This window comes from Homo sapiens, chromosome 18 (genome assembly GCF_000001405.40).
Source record: "Homo sapiens chromosome 18, GRCh38.p14 Primary Assembly".
NCBI lineage: Eukaryota > Metazoa > Chordata > Mammalia > Primates > Hominidae > Homo > Homo sapiens.
Genome location: NC_000018.10, coordinates 2,931,762 through 2,950,696, shown reverse-complemented (window position 1 = coordinate 2,950,696; position 18,935 = coordinate 2,931,762). Strand labels below are relative to the sequence as shown.

At 38.5% G+C, this 18,935-nt stretch overlaps 1 protein-coding gene and 1 pseudogene across 9 annotated transcripts in view; both read left to right on the top strand.

Annotated features, from left to right (window-relative positions):
• LPIN2 (lipin 2) overlaps positions 1–18,935 on the top strand; it is a 96,151-nt gene that overhangs the window by 62,448 nt on the left and 14,768 nt on the right. For all 8 annotated transcript variants that reach the window (XR_935074.3, XM_047437958.1, NM_014646.2 and 5 more), the window contains 4 exons: positions 9,985–10,092; positions 11,094–11,217; positions 12,660–13,005; positions 16,247–16,346. Coding sequence is in view for 7 of the 8 variants with exons in the window: in XM_047437958.1 (XP_047293914.1) it covers positions 9,985–10,092; positions 11,094–11,217; positions 12,660–13,005; positions 16,247–16,346 (678 nt within the window). In the remaining variant the exon portion in view is untranslated. The remainder of the gene's footprint in view (positions 1–9,984; positions 10,093–11,093; positions 11,218–12,659; positions 13,006–16,246; positions 16,347–18,935) is intronic.
• CHORDC1P4 (CHORDC1 pseudogene 4) lies at positions 4,074–7,485 on the top strand (annotated as a pseudogene). The gene has a single exon (NR_026659.1). The product of NR_026659.1 is annotated as a CHORDC1 pseudogene 4 (transcript).

Genomic DNA, 18,935 nt, shown 5'->3' with positions numbered 1-18,935 from the left:
GGTATGTTTTTCCTGAGGAGTTGAGTTTTGTTTTATTGGAATTGAAAAGGAATGATTTTTATTTTTTTACATGAGCAGTCTTGATCGCTGCTTATTTACCTGCTCTGTAGAAGAGCTCATTATATGCCATTTTTCATGTCAGCACCGCTTGGGGTTGAAAGGTAGCAGTTGGGAGTAGAACACGTTTTCTTATTCAAGATTCCGTTTTCTTCCACCTGTTGCACTCAGTGGCCACCTTGGCACTAGGACCGTGGTGGGGATTCTCTTTATTGGTGACGACTGGACAAGAAGCTGCTGCCCATGAGTGGCCCTGCATTTCCAGACTCTTTATTTGTGGCGGGAGCTGCTGGTCCACTTGTGTGTTTTCACCCCATCTGTCGAAAAGAGGTCACACCCTACTTCCTGGAAAACAGTGATGTTCAAGTGTTTTTCATCCTAGAATAGAGGGAAATAATTTCTTTCACTAGCTATGGAAACCAAATATATATCAAGAGTAAACCCTAGCTCAATCTGGTATGTGTTTTATTTGCCAATCTTTTGTTTTAAATGGTCAAACCAGGAAAAAAATATGCTTTGTTTTGTTTTGTTTTTTAATTGAGACAGGTTCTCCCTGTGTTGCCCAGGCTGGAGTGCAGTGGTGCAATCATAGCTCACTGTAACATTGAACTCCCGAACTCAAGCAGTCCTCCCACCTCAGCCTCCCAAGTAGCTAGGACTGTATGTGCTTACCCCTACACCCAGCTAGTTTTTAAAAATTTTCTGTAGAGTTGAGGTCTTGCTATGTTGCCCAGGCTGGTCTCAAATTCCTGGCCTCAAGCAACTCTCCCGCCTCAGCCTCCCAAAGTGCTAAGATTACAGGCATGAACCACTGAGCCCAGCAAAAAGTGTTAATTAATGTAGTATTAGTATATTATAATTATACTGCATTAATGAATAACATAGTATAATCCTTTTTTGTAAAACAATTCATTTTCCAAAATTTTGAAATCTAGATTTTAAATCTTAGAATTAAACATCTATATTTGATAGTAATTTTTTACAATTCGATATTATAAGTAACATAGCCATTTTTAATACATGAAATTTTTTTCTACTCCTCTTGTTTTATTGCTCACTAGCTGTCATGTCTGTGGTGTTCTGTCTTACTCCTCCCACGCTGAATATGTAACACTTTGATTTCAGTTCTGATAGAATGCAGAATTTCTCCAATAGAACTAAACAACAAAAGATGGAAAGCAATAGTGGAAAAGTATGTTAAGCTCTACAAACCAGAGTACACTATATTTACAAAATTTTAAAATCCTGAATGAATCAATAAATTTAGGTAATTTTTTTTGTCAGTGTCAAAATACTAGCTGAGAAGAGTTTCATCATAAATGTTCTGAACTCTACTTTTAAATATCATTGATTCCCAAAGAAATTTAAGCTGATAAAAAGTACCAGAATTTCTTAAAAAGAGACTCTTCCTGTCCTTTTCCTTCCTTCATTCAGTCTTTTAAAGGTTATTTGTCCTTCTCTTCACTAGGAGAATAAAGTATGAGATTTTTTACTTTTCTACTGCTTGACTTCAGGAATATTAAAAACATTATTAAAAGGCCGGGCACGGTAGCCCATGCCTGTAATCCCAGCACTTTGGGAGGCCAAGGCGGGAGGATCACCTGAGGTCAGGAGTTGGAGACCAGCCTGGCCAACATGGTGAAACTCCATCTCTACTAAAAATACAGAAATTAGCTGGGTGTGGTGGCAGGCTAATTACTCAGGAGGCTGAGGCAGGAGAATCACTTGAACCTGGGAGGCGGAGGTTACAGTGAGCCAAGATCACACCACTGCCCTCCAGCCCAGGTGACAGAGCAAGACTCTGTCTTTAAAAAAAAAAAAAAAATTATAAACAATTTCCTTTAAAAGTTTTGTCTTATGCATACTAAAATGTGTAGGTGGGCAAGAAACGTATTCTTTTGAGAAAAACTTGAAATGCTTACACATCTTAAGTTTTATTAGGATCAGCCTTGTAATGCTCCCAGAAGTGCTTCGTTCCTGAAAATATTTTTACCAACTAAAATTCTTCCAAGATCTACCAAAAAGAGCACTGAAGTAATGCTTTTGTCTTAGAATTTTGTTGACCTGTGTCCTTTGTCAGACATAATAGAGCAACATTTAGAATTCCTGAACAACCTACAGCTTGGGAAATTAAAACAATTTCTAAAACATATGCCAAGTTCCCTACTAAATTGTACAAGAATCATTATTCTAAAGGAATTTGCAAACGAATGTTGTAAGCCAATTGCAGAAATATTAGTACATACCTTGTTTTTCCTGATGGTGTGAAAGGCTGTATCCACTGTGTACTGATGTGTTTGACAGGTATGAATGGCTGCCAGCCTATCTCTAAGCCAGCAGCTTGCTGGCTTGGTAAGCAGGCATGTCACAACACACGTAAGCTAGGGCCTTGCAGTCGTTTTCAGGAGGTTGGTGTTTTGCTTTTTCTTTAGGTTACCATGGAATAATTGATGCTGCCACCTGGAGGAGCTCTTCCATGAAATTTCCTTAAAATAGAATCTGCTTAAATAATATAGCCAACAGAAATTAGGACTTTAAAAAAAGAAAACAAAATGTAAACATCTGTGAAAATTCAGGTTGTTTTCTGAAATAAGCACTGAGCTAAAAGGTAGACAGACTGGGCCCATTATAGATTGTAGAACAGTAGCCTCTTCATCGCTCAGGGCGTTGGTTTCTTAATCTATAAAGTGAGAGGGTCGAAGGGGCCTTTAAAAGGCCCCTTTCAGCTCAGCACCTAGACTCTGACATTATTTGAGGGAAGCTATTTACGGTCATTAACAGCATATGAAACAACGTGTTCAAAATCTAAGAGAAAAAGAAAAGGAAATCAATTGCTTTTGCAGTTGTGAGGACTAGGAATTACGTGGCGTTGCGGAATTTGCAGCTTTCCTATAGCATATTCTCCTCAGCTCCTACCACTTAGAAAAGAAATTATTTTTCCAGAGAAGATAAATGCATAAAATAGGTTTCTGTTTTGTTTTGACAAATGGCATTTCGTTTAAATTCTTTACTTTTCAAGAATTTTGTTGATAATAGAATTAAGGTTAATTGAGGCTCCTTGAAGGAGGCAGATGGAAGAGGGAATCATTCTTTAAAGCAGATTGCTATAGCACAGCTGGAAGAAACTCATTTCTGGAAATCGGAGAGCTTTAAACTATACACGGCTTTAAAAAACTGTACCTAGTAAGTCTCCCTCCCTTCCTAAAGATGGGCGTTGGGCTTAAATATAACATAGAAGCCTTGTTTGTCCTTCTAGAGGATGGATGGATGTCTTTGTGTGAGAGAGAGATTAAAAACATTGCACCTAGGCATATGTAGCCTTTTGGAGGGAAGAGACTCTGCATATTGGATGGTGTTCTAGCATAATCTTGAGTGCAAATATATGAAACATGCCACCGATGGAAATATTTCAAATACCCAGCAATAGCAAAAATGGAGGCTCAATATCACACCATCAGAAAGGAGTCTCAACTTTTAATCCACTAAAGCAGACTTACTTAAAAGTGATATCTGGGAGCTAAATCCAGGGAGCCTAAGACTTTTCACAGATAGCACCTACTGCTCTGATGATCTGCATACTTCATCTCCTGATCGGTAATTGGCTTCTAGAGAACCCTCCATGTTCTTCTGGGGTGAGTGTAGACACTCAGGGTGACATGGATCTTACAGATGCTCCCTGCCTTTTCTCTCCTTCGTTTCTGACACAGAACACAGAGAGAAGTATTGCAGGGCTCCATATGTCTTACGGGAAATGCTCTGTATCCAAATGCCAGCTGAGATCATTAGCCACGCTGAAATTCGTTGACTCGTACTGTGCTAAGGTTGCTGCTAGACGTTGTTAACAGAGTTAGTGGTCTTTGGTTATGGTGGTTAGCAGCCCCACTTATCTGTTCCATACTACCAGTGAATAGTTTAAAATTCATGTTGCACCTATAATTTATCCCACATAAATAATTCAGGCTATTTATTTTGGCATTCAATTGATTTTTTTCTCACTTTAAAAAACTGAGGTATGGAGACTGGTGCTAGCAACACGGGATTGGCTAACGCATCCTCTTGCTGTTCCCGGTGTTTGGGCCTTGCCTGTGACAGTGGGAAAAAAAATGGCCTTGCTGTGCTACAACCGGAGCTGCGGTCAGCGCTTCGATCCTGAGACCAATTCCGACGATGCTTGCACATATCACCCAGGCGTTCCAGTCTTTCACGATGCATTAAAGGGTTGGTCTTGCTGTAAGAGAAGAACAACTGATTTTTCTGATTTCTTAAGCATTGTAGGCTGTACAAAAGGTAGACATAATAGTGAGAAGCCACCTGAGCCAGTCAAACCTGAGGTCAAGACTACTGAGGAGAAGGAACTATCTGAATTAAAACCAAAATTTCAGGAACACATTCAAGCCCCTAAGACAGTAGACGCGATAAAAAGACCAAGCCCAGATGAACCAATGACAAATTTGGAATTAAAAATATCTGCCTCCCTAAAACAAGCACTTGATAAACTTAAACTGTCATCAGGGAATGAAGAAAATAAGAAAAGAAGACAATGATGAAATTAAGATTGGGACCTCATGTAAGAATGGAGGGTGTTCAAAGACATATCGGGGTCTAGAGAGTCTAGAAGAAGTCTGTGTATATCATTCTGGAGTACCTATTTTCCATGAGGGGACGAAATACTGGAGCTGTTGTAGAAGAAAAACTTCTGATTTTAATACATTCTTAGACCAAGAGGGCTGTACAAAAGAGAAACATGTGGACTAAAAAAGATGCTGGGAAAAAAGTTGTTCCATGTAGACATGACTGGCATCAGACTGGAGGTGAAGTTACCATTTCAGTATAGGCTAAAAATTCACTTCCAGAACTTAGTCGAGTAGAAGCAAATAGCACATTGTTAGATGCGCATATTGTATTTGAAGGAGAGAAGGAATTTGATCAAAATGTGAAATTATGGGGTGTGATTGATGTAAAGCGAAGTTATTAACTATGACTGCAACAAAGATTGAAATCACTATGAGAAAAGCTGAACCGATGCAGTGGGCAAGCCTTGAACTGCCTGCAGCTAAAAAGCAGGAAAAACAAAAAGACGACACAGCAGATTGAGTGGGAGATGGGAGGAAGGCTATTACGTATTTCAGAATTTTTAATACTGTGTGAAGTGGTGGCTTGCTGCTGTCATCTTTTGTTTTGTTGTTGTGTTACTGAATGTGGCATTTCAGGGTTAACATTAGGTTCTTAAAAGCCAAAGTCAGTTTATCTTTTTGTGCCTCTCATCTTTCTTTCGTGTTATGTAAGATTGATTATTCGTTTCTCCCTACTGGTAGGAACCATAGTTGTGTCCTGTACTTGAAGAGGCTGAAAAATAGCCCATAACCATAATTGCAGTATTTCTTTGTATTTCTCTGTTAAGCAAAGAAATATTAAGGAACTTTTTTTATGTCTTTGTATTATTCCATAATTAGTAAAGCTAATTGTGAATGTCCAATTTTAATGAAATGTCCAATTTTAATCAGTTTTTTTCATGGATTTGTGTTCTTACGGTACTTGAAAATATTTAAGGAAGAGATGAAGCTCTGCAGTTTTTTCTATGTGGGATGATTGCTTTTTTAAGGAGGATTAATTCTGAGGTAGTATAGTAAGTAAAGGGGAATATATGAATTGTTAACAAATTAGGATTTGTTTACAACTACTTGAATTTTTAAATTATGTCAAAACTTACATTACTTGCCAAGCAGTATGATGTAAGAGTATAGGAAACATAAATAAGAATACAGAGGTATCAATTTGATTAAAATTCACCATTTTATAAGACTAAGCAATAATCTTAAAAACCTCTTTCCTGAATATTTAAATGTGTTTGTATGGTGTTATGACTAATTGTTACTGATTTACAGACTAAGCCCTCTTAAAACCTTTAGTTAAATATAAAAAGAAATTATATATATCTTGCCTCCCTGATGGAAAACTATGTAAAATTGTAGACTTAAAAGGTTTGTGGAGGCCGGGCGCGGTGGCTCATGCCTGTAATCCCAGCACTTTGGGAGGCCGAGGCGGGCAGATCACGAGGTCAGGAGATCGAGACCATCCTGGCTAACACGGTGAAACCCCGTCTCTACTAGAAATACAAAAATTAGCTGGGCGTAGTGGTGGGTGCCTGTAGTCCCAGCTACTCAGGAGGCTGAGGCAGGAGAATGGCGTGAACCTAAGAGGCGGAGCTGGCAGTGAGCTGAGATTGCGCCACTGCACTCCAGCCTGGGCGACAGAGCCAGACTCCGACTCAAAAAAAAAAAAAAAAAAAAAAAAAAAAAAAAAAAAGTTTGTGGAAATACATTAGGATATCAGAAAACTAAATATATGGAGTTGCTTTATGACTATTACATGTTAAATAAAATAGCTTGTTTTGGAGTTTTTTTTTTTAAAGTCATGAAGAGCTTCACAATTCTAGTGATACAGTGTTGATTATATATTGTGCTTTATTTATTTTAAATATAGGTAACACAGAATTAGATCGTTTGGATAGGTTTTGATGCAGTGCAGAGCTTAAGAAGAAAAATTAGGAAATATTCTGAAGGCCAGAACTCTGGAAGAACTTAGAAAGTTTGGGAATAAATTAAACTTACATAGATTTAAAATTAAAAGGGGTTTATTTCCCAAACCCCTTGAGTCTTTTCTTTTCCTTGGCATTTGCGGAATTCTTACAAAGAAAAATTTACAGAAGTACTATTTTCGTTAATAAAGCATATATATCATTCTACTACCATTAGCAAATAACTTAGTTGTAGTTAATATAATTGTTAAAAGGTTTAGCTCTGTTACAAATAAAAACAAAAAGATCTGGCAACCAGACTCATGATGTTACACTACCATGACAAGAAACTCTGGGCAGTGAAAGTTGGACCCACATGGAGTACATAAACATCTGATACTGGGAGATGTATTTAAAATTTTTCAAGTTATATTCCATGATTTAGGAACCATTTAGAGACATGAAGTCTTTATGGGTTGGGGGAAAGGTTGATACTTAGTTTGATTAAAGGTAATGATTAATATGCCTTTTTGTTAATACTTCTTTCTGAGGCTGTCTTCCCCTAAACAGTATCTTAATCTGTTAAATGTAATTGAAATATTATTTGAAGCAGTGAGTTATTGTAACCTCAGATTAGTTACATTGATCAAAACATTGATTTATACACACACACACACACACACACACACACACGCAGCTTTTATATTTAGTCTGGTTACATTAGTGACCATGGTATTTCCTTTCTTACTTCTTAAGGAGCCTTTGAATTTCTTGTCCAGATAAAAATCTGAATAATATTTATCTTAGACTCATACATAAAGGGACACAGTTACCGTTAGGTAGCATATGTTTTACTATCGGTTTGTCAAAAAAGTTAATAAAAAATGCTTATTGATTTGTTTCTCTAAAAAACAAAACAGAAAAAAAACTGAGGTATAATTTACATACAGCAATATTCACAGACCGTAAGTGTGCAGTTCAGTGCATTTTGGCAGTCATATACATCCATGTAACCTCCGTTAGCTTTTGAATTGGAAAAATGTTAGGCTTAGAAAATGATGCGGAATTTGAAAGATGTGATGTTGTAGCACATCTGTGAGGGCTGGAGTGCCCTGTTCACACTGGCTGTGAACCTCAGCCTCCGAGCCCCCAGCCCTGACTGAAAGTCACCGTTTACATCTTTTGCTCAGTTCTGATGTATTAGCAAAACAGAATCAGTGCTTGTGCTGTTTTCTTCACATTCTACTGTGTACGCTCCACTATAGCCTCACGTCACGTGCTTAGTTTGTTACTCTGTCATGGTTTGCCTTGCAGGTCCCTGTTCTAAGGCATACCTGCCATTTTGAAAGTTCCTAAAAGGTTTCTGGAATTTCTATTTTAATAAAGGAATCTTAGGACTGAAAGGGATCTCAGCATAAATCTTTTCTGTCACTGTAGTGGGCCTAGACTAATGGGCTGTATTTTTGTCAGGATATGACCAAAAAAGGCCACCTCTTGTCTTCCTGGGGCTGTGAATTCAGGTGGTACCTGATCGCTTTTTCAATATTTTACTAAATCCTGTTTGCTTTGCTGAATTCTTCTTGGCTTACCTTTTATACTGCAGTGAAATATGTCCCAAAAGTAAAATATTTGTAATATAAAAATTCCGGTTAGAAATTTGTGTGACTTTTACATTGTTCTTTTCAGACCACTTTCACGTATGGATAGTGATGGGTCAAGCTGATGTGTCCTTTCAGAGTGGGCAAATAAAGACCATTCACAAACCTGATTTTCCCTTTCTCAGGGGAAAATTTGCCTTTTGATATTCCTTTATTGAGAAATAGAGTACTTTTTCCTAGATGTCTTTCTCAGGTATATGTTTTCTCCCCTTCAATGAGTGGTATGCCAGAGTAAGGCCCTAGAGAAAGAAGACCAGAGTTAGGAAAACCTTAAATTAAAAGATTAAGCTATGTGGAAAAACTATTACATGTCAGAGTTAGTGGTAAATAAGAGTATGTTAAGTTAAGATATAAAGGAAGAAGAGTAATATTAAAAAAGAACCTGGTTTTCTATCCCTGTGTTTAGTCCAGCAAACTAAGTGATGTGGATATTCTCATTTACATTTATTATCTGTCCTATTAGAACATTGAATTTTCTATAAGAAGCCTTTAAACTTGTATAATATGGCGCTTTATGCTTTGCAGAGTTTTGTTTGTTTTTGGGATGGAGTCTCTCTCTGTCACCTAGGCTGGAGTGCAGTGGTGCGATCTCCGCTCACTGCAACCTCTGCCTCCTGGGTTCAAGCAGTTCTCTGCCTTAGCCTCCCAAGTAGCTGGGATTACAGGTGCCCGCCACCACACCCGGCTAATTTTTGTATTTTTAGTAGAGACAGGGTTTCACCATCTTGGCCAGGCTGGTCTTGAACCCCTGACCTCGTGATCCACCCGCCTCGGCCTTCCGAAGTGCTGGGATGACAGGCATGAGCCACTGTACCTGGCCAGAGTCTTTCTTTGTGCTTTTCTTTTTACTTTTCAGAGATTTCAACATGCTACACCATGTAACTCTCACATTGACTCTGAAGTAGACAGGACAAATGATAAATTTCCAAGTAAAGATGAAAACGGGGGCCCACAGTGCTTCTGAGGGATGTTTTCAAGGTTATATGGCAAGGTAGTTATAGTAACTGAAAATCTGAGAAACCAACAAGTAAATTGATTAAAATCTTATCAGCAGTAGTGTAACCCCCTACCCAAGGTCCTTTTATGAATCTTAAAAGCATTTGTCATTTTTGGTATCATCTTCACATCTCCACATCTTGTAGATTCCAAGTAAAGGAAACCTTCTCAGATAATCCTTGGGCCAAACAAAGAAGAAAATTAGTCCCAAGGTTTTAAGAGGTTAGGGTATTGTTAAAATTTTGAGCCATAGATCTTGTTTGTCTTCAGCTAATATACATTTTCAAATGTATTCAGTAGAAAGGGGAGAGCAGTGGAAAGAATAAGGGCTTACTTGTTTTGAATCCAACTACTTCCTATCTTTTTGACTTTGAGCAAGTTACTAAATTTCTCTGGATCCTTGATTACTTAAAATCTACAATGAAATATTACCTCATTTTGTAAGGATTGAATGAAATAGACATAAAGCCTTAGTTTTCTTTTAGCCTTTGAATCACCCTTAAGGGATGGAAAAAAGAGAAATCACATTTCTCTTTTGTCCTCCCCCTATTTATTCCATATGTGAATAGTGATTGTGGTGTTTTATAGTGGGTGGCATTGGTGTATCCCCCCTTCTCCTTCATATATTTTAGAGAGAGTTAGTAATCATTTGCCCCTCTTCATTTTGATTGTTTGTAGTATCAGTAGGTTTGGGGGATATTTTAAAGCTGACAAGAATGTCATCGTTCCTGCCTTTCTTTGGTTTCTCCTTCACAGAGGATCTTCAAATGCTTCCTTGAAAGAAGAAGAATGTAAAGAGCCTTTGCTCTTCCATTCTGGGGATCATTACCCCTTATCTGATGGAGATTGGTCCCCTTTAGAGACGTAAGTATCTTTGAAATTTCTTGGTTTCTTGAAAGAGGAAGGAGATGTATTAATTAGCTTTTCTGTTAATCTGTAGTAATGATATTTCCCATTTCTCTCACACAGCCAAGGAACTGAATGTTTACTTGTAACATAAATATGAATCTTTTCTCTCAATAATTATTTTGTTTCTAAATTTGATCTGACTTACTCTAACAGTGTTGGCCAGTTGTAGATCTGTATAATCAGCATGGAATTTAGCCATCTACAGTTATTTTTTTTCTTTTTCTTTTTAGTAGAGACAAGGTCTCGCTCTGTTTTCCCAGCCTGGAGTGCAGTGGCACACTCATAGCTCACTGCAGCCTTAAACCCCTGGGCTCGAGTGATCCTCCCACCTCAGCCTCCTGAGTGACTGGGACTACAGGCACGCACCACTGTGCTCAGCTAAGTTTTAAATTTTTTTGTAGAGACAGAGTCTCGCTATTTTGCCCAGGCTATTCTTGAACTCCTGGCCTCAGGTGATCCTCTCGCCTTGGCCTCCCAAAGCACTGGGATTACAGACATGAGACATTGTGCCCACTCATCTGCAATTCTTAAAAATTCTCATCTTTTAGTGTCAACTGTTGGCTGTAAATGAATAATATAGTGAAAAAAAGTATAGTCATAACTGTTTATTCTGCAATCAGATTCTCAGGTGTTATGTTAATTTGCCTGCTTTTCCTTTCCTACAAAATTATCTTCTTTCTCATTGATTTCTTGTGAAAAGCAAATGAGATTATGAATCTACAGTGTTTGTTTACAAAGGACCTGGTAAGTCCTCTTAAATACTAGTTGGTGTCATTTTTATTATTATTATTAAAGAACTCAAGTGGAAGAAATAATTGATGCTCCCTTCCATAGAGTTTTTATATATGCAGGATAAAGTCAAGATATTCAGATTTGTTTCTTTTAATCTGTCAGGCTCAGCAAGACTGAAGGTTTCCCGACTTTCAAGTCATCGTGTGTCTTTGTTCTCTTTGCAGCACCTATCCCCAGACAGCGTGTCCTAAGAGTGATTCAGAGCTGGAGGTGAAACCTGCGGAGAGCCTGCTCAGATCAGAGTCTCACATGGAGTGGACGTGGGGCGGATTCCCAGAGTCCACCAAGGTACTAGGGTTTACTTGCCTGTGGAAAGTGTGTTAATGATTAAACAAGTGACGAATTCCTCTGCCCATAAGTAAAGGAGGCAATTTCTGACTGAGCTCTCATGAATGTAAATGATAGTGCCCTCATGTCATAAAAGTAAATTCAAAGTTAACATTTTTTGTAACATTTGGACTATATATTTGCAACCGAAGGATTTCAGTAGTATTTTGTGTATATTTCTATTTACTGAATAATAATGATTGTTAATTATTATAAGGACATTTTAAAAGGCATCTTAAACTGAAATTTTCACACTGAATTTTTATTTTTTATTTTTTGGAGACAGAGTTCTTGCTCTGTCACCCATGCTGGAGAGCAGTGGTGCAGCCACAACTCACTGCAGCCTTAACCTCCTGTGCTCAGGTAATTCTCCCACACCAGACTTTCAAGTAGCTGAGACTGCAGGTGTGTGCTACCACACCCAGTTAATTTTTTAGTTTTTATTTTTTGTAGAGACAAGGTCTCGCTATATCAGCTTGGCCTGATCGCAAACTCCTGGGCTCAAGAGATCCTCCTGCCTTGGCCTCCCAGAGTGCTGGGATTACAGGCGTGAGCTGCCATCCCCAGCCAACACTGAAATTTTAAACAAGAAATTGTTAAACCTTTTTTTCCAGCTCATAATGAAAGAAGAAAGAACTGAGAAGATAAATTTCTTGAGAGAGAAAATGTTTAGATCTTCTGTTGAATTTAGGTTTTTAAAATATACATTTTGCATATATTTGTGATCGAATTTAGACTTGCCACTTTTACACTGTTTTAACAGAGCCTTGATGTGGTCCAAGGAGGGTGAAATTTTCATTTAGTTTTCTCCCCCAAAATGAGTATTTTCTACTTCTTAGTAACTGAAAATTGTCAGTTTCCTCAGTCTTCTCCAGTATAACTTCACAGTAGAACATTTAACGTACACCTTTTTTTTTGAGATAAAGTCTTGCTCTGTCACCTAGGCTGGAATGCAGTGGTGCCATCTCGGCTCACTGCAACCTCCATCTCCTGGGTTCAAGAAATTATCTTGCCTCAGCCTCCCGAGTAGCTGAGATTACAGGCGCCTGCCACCATGCCCGGCTAATTTTTGTATTTTTAGTAGAGACAGGGTTTCATCCTGTTGGCCAGGCTAATCTCGAACTCCTGACCTCAAGTGATCTGCCCACCTTGGCCTCCCAAAGTGCTGGGATTATAGGCGTGAGCCACTGTGCCCGGCCAGAACATTTATAAGTATCATGATATTGAACAAAAGGCAATTATTAGTTTTTCTCACTTTATTATGGAATTTTTACATGTACAAACTAAGATACTTAATGAATGTGTTAAGTTAAAAATAGAATGAACACATTGCCAGCTTAGGAAATAGATTATAACAAATACTCTGAAAGTAGTTTAATTTTTAAACAATTTAACTTTTTTAGGTCAGCAAAAGAGAACGATCTGACCATCATCCTAGGACAGCTACAATTACACCATCAGAAAATACTCATTTTCGGGTAATTCCCAGTGAGGACAACCTCATCAGTGAAGTTGAGAAGGATGCTTCCATGGAAGACACTGTCTGTACCATAGTGAAGCCCAAACCCAGAGCCCTGGGTACACAGATGAGCGACCCAACATCTGTGGCAGAGCTTCTCGAACCTCCTCTTGAGAGTACTCAGATTTCATCTATGTTAGATGCTGACCACCTTCCCAACGCAGCCTTAGCGGAGGCGCCCTCAGAATCCAAACCGGCAGCTAAAGTAGACTCGCCGTCAAAGAAGAAAGGTAATCGTTTGTTTAATTTGGCTCCAGGTACTCTCAAATTAGATGGTAAATTATTTCAGTGTTCCACATAACGTGATGGCTGCCTCTGTATTTGTATTCACCAGTCGAAACCCGTCGCACTTTTTTTTTTTTTTTTTTTTTTTTTTTAGCTGGAGTTTCGCTCTTGTTACCCAGGCTGGAGTGCAATTGTGTGATCTCGGCTAACTGCAACTTCCGCCTCCCGGGTTCAAGCAATTCTCCTGCCTCAGCCTTCTGAGTAGCTGGGGTTACAGGCACACACCACCATCCCCGGCTGATTTTTTGTATTTTTAATAGAGATGGCATTTCACCATGTTGGCCAGGCTGGTCTCAAACTCCTGACCTCAGGTGATCTGCCCACCTCGGCCTCCCAAAGTGCTGGGATTACAGGTGTGAGCCACCGTGCCCAGGCCCGTCACTCACTTTCTTACAATTGCTTTCCATGGCGTCCCCCTGGAAAGTCCAGTTGGAGCAGGGCCTGACTTGCACACTGCTGTCTCTTGACTGTTGCTACTCAGTGGGTTCTTGAGAAGCATTTACTGAGAAAACAAATAATGAGTTGTAATCAATTGATGAGTAAAATTAACCACTTTATTGATAAGGTATGTCAGTAAAGTGAAGTAGAATCTTAAAAAATTAGAATAGAGAAAAAATGTTTTCACTTGAAACATCTTAGCTGAGGCTAAATTAGGTAGGTTTTTTAGCAGTAATATCAGATAAAAATCAATGCATACTAATTATGATTATGAGTATGTGCTTTCTTTTGCTGATTATTTCCCTCTAAAATAGGTAGAAGGCTAGGTGCAGTGGCTCACACCTGTAATCCCAGTACTTAGGAAGCTGAGGTGGACAGATCACTTGAGCTCAGGATTTCGAGATCAGCCTGGGCAACATAGTGAAACCCTGTCTCTATCAAACATAAAAAACTGAGCCTGGCATGGTGGCGTTCATCTGTGGTCCCAGCTACTTGGGAGGCTGAGGTGGGAAGATCGCTTGAGCCCTGGGGCAGAGGTTGCAATGAGCCAAGATGAAGCCACTCCATTCCAGCCTGGGTGATAGAGTGAGACCCTGTCTCAAAAATAATAAGAAAAAATAAAAATTACCTTAAGAAGTTATTCTAATCACCTGAGCCCAGGGAGGTCACGACTGCAGTGAGCTGTGATTGCACCACTGCACTCTAACCCATGTGACAGAGTGAGACCCTGTCTCAAAATAAGTAGAGAAAACATCCAACTCTTGGTTCAACAGTTCTTCCTCACTTTTGGAACACAAGTTTAATAAATCAGAACATCCTTACTATTTGAAAATAAAAAGCCAACCATCGATACTTGGTACAGTGGGTCAGAACATACATATTCTGAACTCTGGCCTTGGATCCTATTTTTAGGAAAGTGTGAAACCTTCTCTAAAATTACCCAACATCATATATAGCCAATTACCTATTTCAATTAAAAAAAAATTCTAGCACCAAAGATTAGGTAATTATAAACCAACTTAATATATATTAGGTATGGACCTTCAAGTTCACTCAGAAATAATTTATCTAAAATGAAAGAATGTGACTGTCGAAGGTGTTGGTGGTCAGATAAAACCATCTAGCGAATGGTGGCTTAACTTGGCACCTGCTCTTCCACCAAAGGCCTGTAGCCACTTGTTATGCTCTAAGAAATGTTAAGGGGGGAAATCCAGTTCTTTTAGGATGAATGCTTTGTTTTTGGAACTAATGACTCCTGTTCTTAGCACACAGTGCAGGATCTGACTAGAGACAGGAACCCTGAGTGGTTTTTACTATTCTTTTGGCCTCATTCTTTTTCCCCTCTACTTTTTATTATACATTTTTGCCCTCCCTCTCTCCTCAACCCCTCTCTCCCTACATCTCTCCATTCATCCACATACAGTGTTTTATTAATAAAACATTTGAAAACAAATTGCAGGCATGACATTTCACTCTTAGATATGCCAGGATATACCTTCTAAGAATGTGAACATTCTCTGCATAGCCCCAGTACTATTGTCATCTTGAAGAATTCATGTTTACATTTCCCTAATTGTACCAAGAATATTTTTTTAGCTGGCCTGTTTCCCAAGCCAAAATTGCATCAGGTTTCACATGTTGCATTTGATTTTTATGTTTCTTGTAATCTTTTTTATTTTAGAACTCTCTCTCCTACACCCATCCACACCCTCATGCCCTCTCTACACCCGTGATAGTAACCTTTTAAAGAGCTCAGCCAGTGTCTTCTAGGCTCTCTCACGTTCTGGATTTGTCTGATTGTTTTTTTGAAGGTGACATTCCTATATTTTCTTAACTGGGAGTTAGCTCTAGAACTTACTGTCCACTAGAAATGGAATATGAATCACATGTGTAATTTTGAATCATCTCATTGCCACTTTTAAGGAAGTAAAATAAGGTGAAATTAAGTTTAGTGATATATTTCATCTAAGCCAATAAATCCAAAATATAATTTTAATATGTAATCAATATAAAATTATTAAGGAAGTATCTTAGTGTGTTTTACGCATTTTTAACATTTTGTGTACCTCACTTTAGCAACAGTTTAAATGCTCAGTAGCCACATGTGGCTGGTGGTCACTAGAGTGGGCAGTACAGGTCTAGAGGCTTAGAGTTATTGTTTGAATTGAAGATTAGTTTATTGCATGTATTGGGTACTCATATTGTATCTCATGATGACCACTAATAGTAATGCTGAACGTGATTATTGTTTAAGATGTTATCTGCCACATCTATCCATTGTGAAGTATTTTTTGTCCTTTTGTAGTTAGAAGGTAATGCAGGGTGGATACTTGGGCACCATGTGAATATCCTGTGCCCAGACAACCTTGCCTTCATGGTTTTAGAGTAATGCCCTCGTTCCCAATGCAGGTGGTTGCCTTAAGTTTGGTCATGCTTGTTCTTAGACCTATAAATACAAAAAAGACTTCACCATTAAAATATAAATTATTTAGGGGCTAGTATTACTCAATTAACAGCAAATGAGAGAATGAGTAAAATCAAAGTATATGTATGGAGCACTGAACTTCTCTTCTATTGGCATGGATGGCTGGGAACCAACCTAAGTAAAAAGGCTGGTTGACACCTTTAAAATTAAAACCCTATTCAAATCCTGCTTGTCACTCTTACTGTTTGCAAACGTGCGTGTGTTTTGCAGAGCTGTAAATGAAGAATAACTAAATTCTTACCTCTGATTTTTTTTTTAAACAGGTGTTCACAAAAGAAGCCAACACCAGGGACCTGATGATATTTACCTTGATGACTTAAAGGGTCTAGAACCTGAAGTTGCAGCTCTTTATTTCCCTAAAAGGTAGAGTGGTCCTTATTTATTGAAGGACAGCTCTGAAATAGTCTAGTTATTTCTAGAGTAAAACATTTCATCTCAGGAAAAAGGAACAAGATGATGGTGTCCTTTAGCTAAATCTGATGATGGCTTCAGGTTTTGGAAAATTTAGAAATAGCGCGTGTCTTATTTCAATATAGTGACTTGAAATTAATAATTACTTACGAAGACATTTTCAATACAATGAGGAGAGATATACTAGTTAAACCTACATAAGGGTATATGACTTCTGATTAGCATTTCCTGTAGTGGTTAATACAAACTCAACATGCTTGGGAAAATTTTTTAGCATTTATTTTATTATGTGTTTTAAAAGAAACACATCTTTATTTGAAAATGTTTTCCAAAGAATGTGTTCACTTCTTGGGAGTCTGAGATCCTGAGCCTTTTCTGAACCGGGTCTGGGTCTGGTGGGGCACTGCCCCCGCGCCCCGTGTCCCCACATCCCCTGCAGCTCCACAGCTGCCACCCAGCCTCCCTCACTGTCCCGCACCATTTTCCCTTTGAATTACTTCAAATATGGGCCTCAAATATGATACACTTGGACTGCCTTCCCAAGTTCATTTCTACTCTTAGGGGAATTCTGTTAAACTGCTACTCTGTGGTTAGAAAAAAACAACTTTTCTCCACGGAAAGTATGACTTGAATATACTGAGCCATAGGCACACATAATTAAACACTTGTAAATGAATTACTGAAAAGTATATTTTGTTTTTTATTTGGAATAGAAAGATGGGATTGATATAAAGCTATTTAAATTTTTTACAGGTATTTTGGGAAAGTTCTTAAAACTCCTTTCTAGCTCTGTCCTAAATTTATCTCAACATATCTACTTCATTTGAAGTAATAGTTGGATTTTTTTAAGGTGAAAAAACTGAAACGGCTTTATTTTAACAGTAGGAAAGTTCAAATATAAGCTGTCATAGAATTACCACTTTTCCCCCCACATTTCCCAGGCCTTAATCATTTATTTATATTGGTATTCCTTCGGTATATGTCTTAGTTTCTCTTTTAAAAAGTGAGGAGAGTAACTAAGGTGATGATACCTTACTCCACTCTACTGTAATTTAACTGTTCACAGTCACTGTCCATGCACTAAGTAAGCTTCTTACCTCATTAACTATTTCTTGAAACATTTCATAAATATTTAAAGATAGTGAGTGAGACTCTTGTAATCCATGTAAGCATTAGTCATGTCATGATCCTTAGCATCTTCATTACCAAATTTACAGTATTTGTAATTATCACTAAACTTTAATATAAATCACACACTTTTGTATTTGGTGGCATCCTGAGTCAGACGGCATCCCCATGTGTGTAGATGTTGTTGTTACTGGTTGGGGTAACACTAGCTGCTGTAGAGGTGGAACTCCTGATCTCGTTGGCCTACCACGATGGAATTTTGTTTCTTGCCCCTGTGAAGAATGCTCTGTGTTGGTGTTTAGGGGGAGGCCTTGCCCACAGGGATTCAGGAACACAGGCTCCTTTCACCTTGAGGCTCTCCCATCCCCATAGGGTCTCAGAGTCCAGAGTTTACTGGCAGCAGAGAAAGGAATGAGCATCGCATAGGAGAGGGCCCCTGGGGAGGGGCACCATGTATGCCTTCCGTCCATATTCACGGCTCAGTCATGTGCTCACGTGGCCCCACCTGACTGCAAGGGGGCCTCGCCGTGTGCCCCGGAGAAAGAGGAGACAGGTGTGGTGAACACAGAAGGGTTGGCCTTGCCCCTCACTCCCAGTATAACAACAGTTCTGCTGACTTTGTGTTTCCAGTGAGAACATTCTGTCAGTCCAGTTAATCTCAATTTTGTGGGTATGAGTGTGCATGGCTATTAAGAGGAAAAAATATCCAAAAACCTGAATTTTTTTGTTGATTCAAATGGGAAACAGGTTTTGAAACTGTTACCTAGTTAAAACATAATCTGTAGTCTGCTGCCACCTACTGCTCAAAGATGAGATTTGTTTGAAAGAGCCAGTAAACCTCTGGGTCACTGTTTTTTTAATTCACATAAAAATACTGGCTTTTTGAATAAAATAAGTGAATTTGAAAATTCTCAATATCTCAAATGTGACATTAAATACCTATTCAAAGGGTATAGAGTAGTAAGCATTGGGGACTGTGAGACTTAAGGTGCTGTGCCATTCATGATTATTCTTTCTCAAATTTACACTTCATTGCATAAGGTTTCCCTTGATCACCTTCTGAAACCTGGCTTCTGTGCCTTATCTTGAAAAATGAAAATATTCAGTAACCTCATCTTTAGCTCCTGGAATAACAGTTACATCCAGTTTATTTCTGAATACATTTCTTTTTCTAGGTGGGTCTTGCCTCTAGAGAATTTGCTCGTTTAATTTCTCCTTCCTTCTTTGTGAGGTAATAGGCGAACTTAGAAAAGATTTGGTTTTAAAGAATATAGCCTTGGACTACAGTAATTTTCTACAGGATGTATAAAGTGCCACAGCTTTTTCTAGGACGTTAGGATCAAAGGTTTCCAAACAGCAGATTTTCTTAATTACCCTGTCATTTTCATCATGGAAATGTAAATAAATACTTAT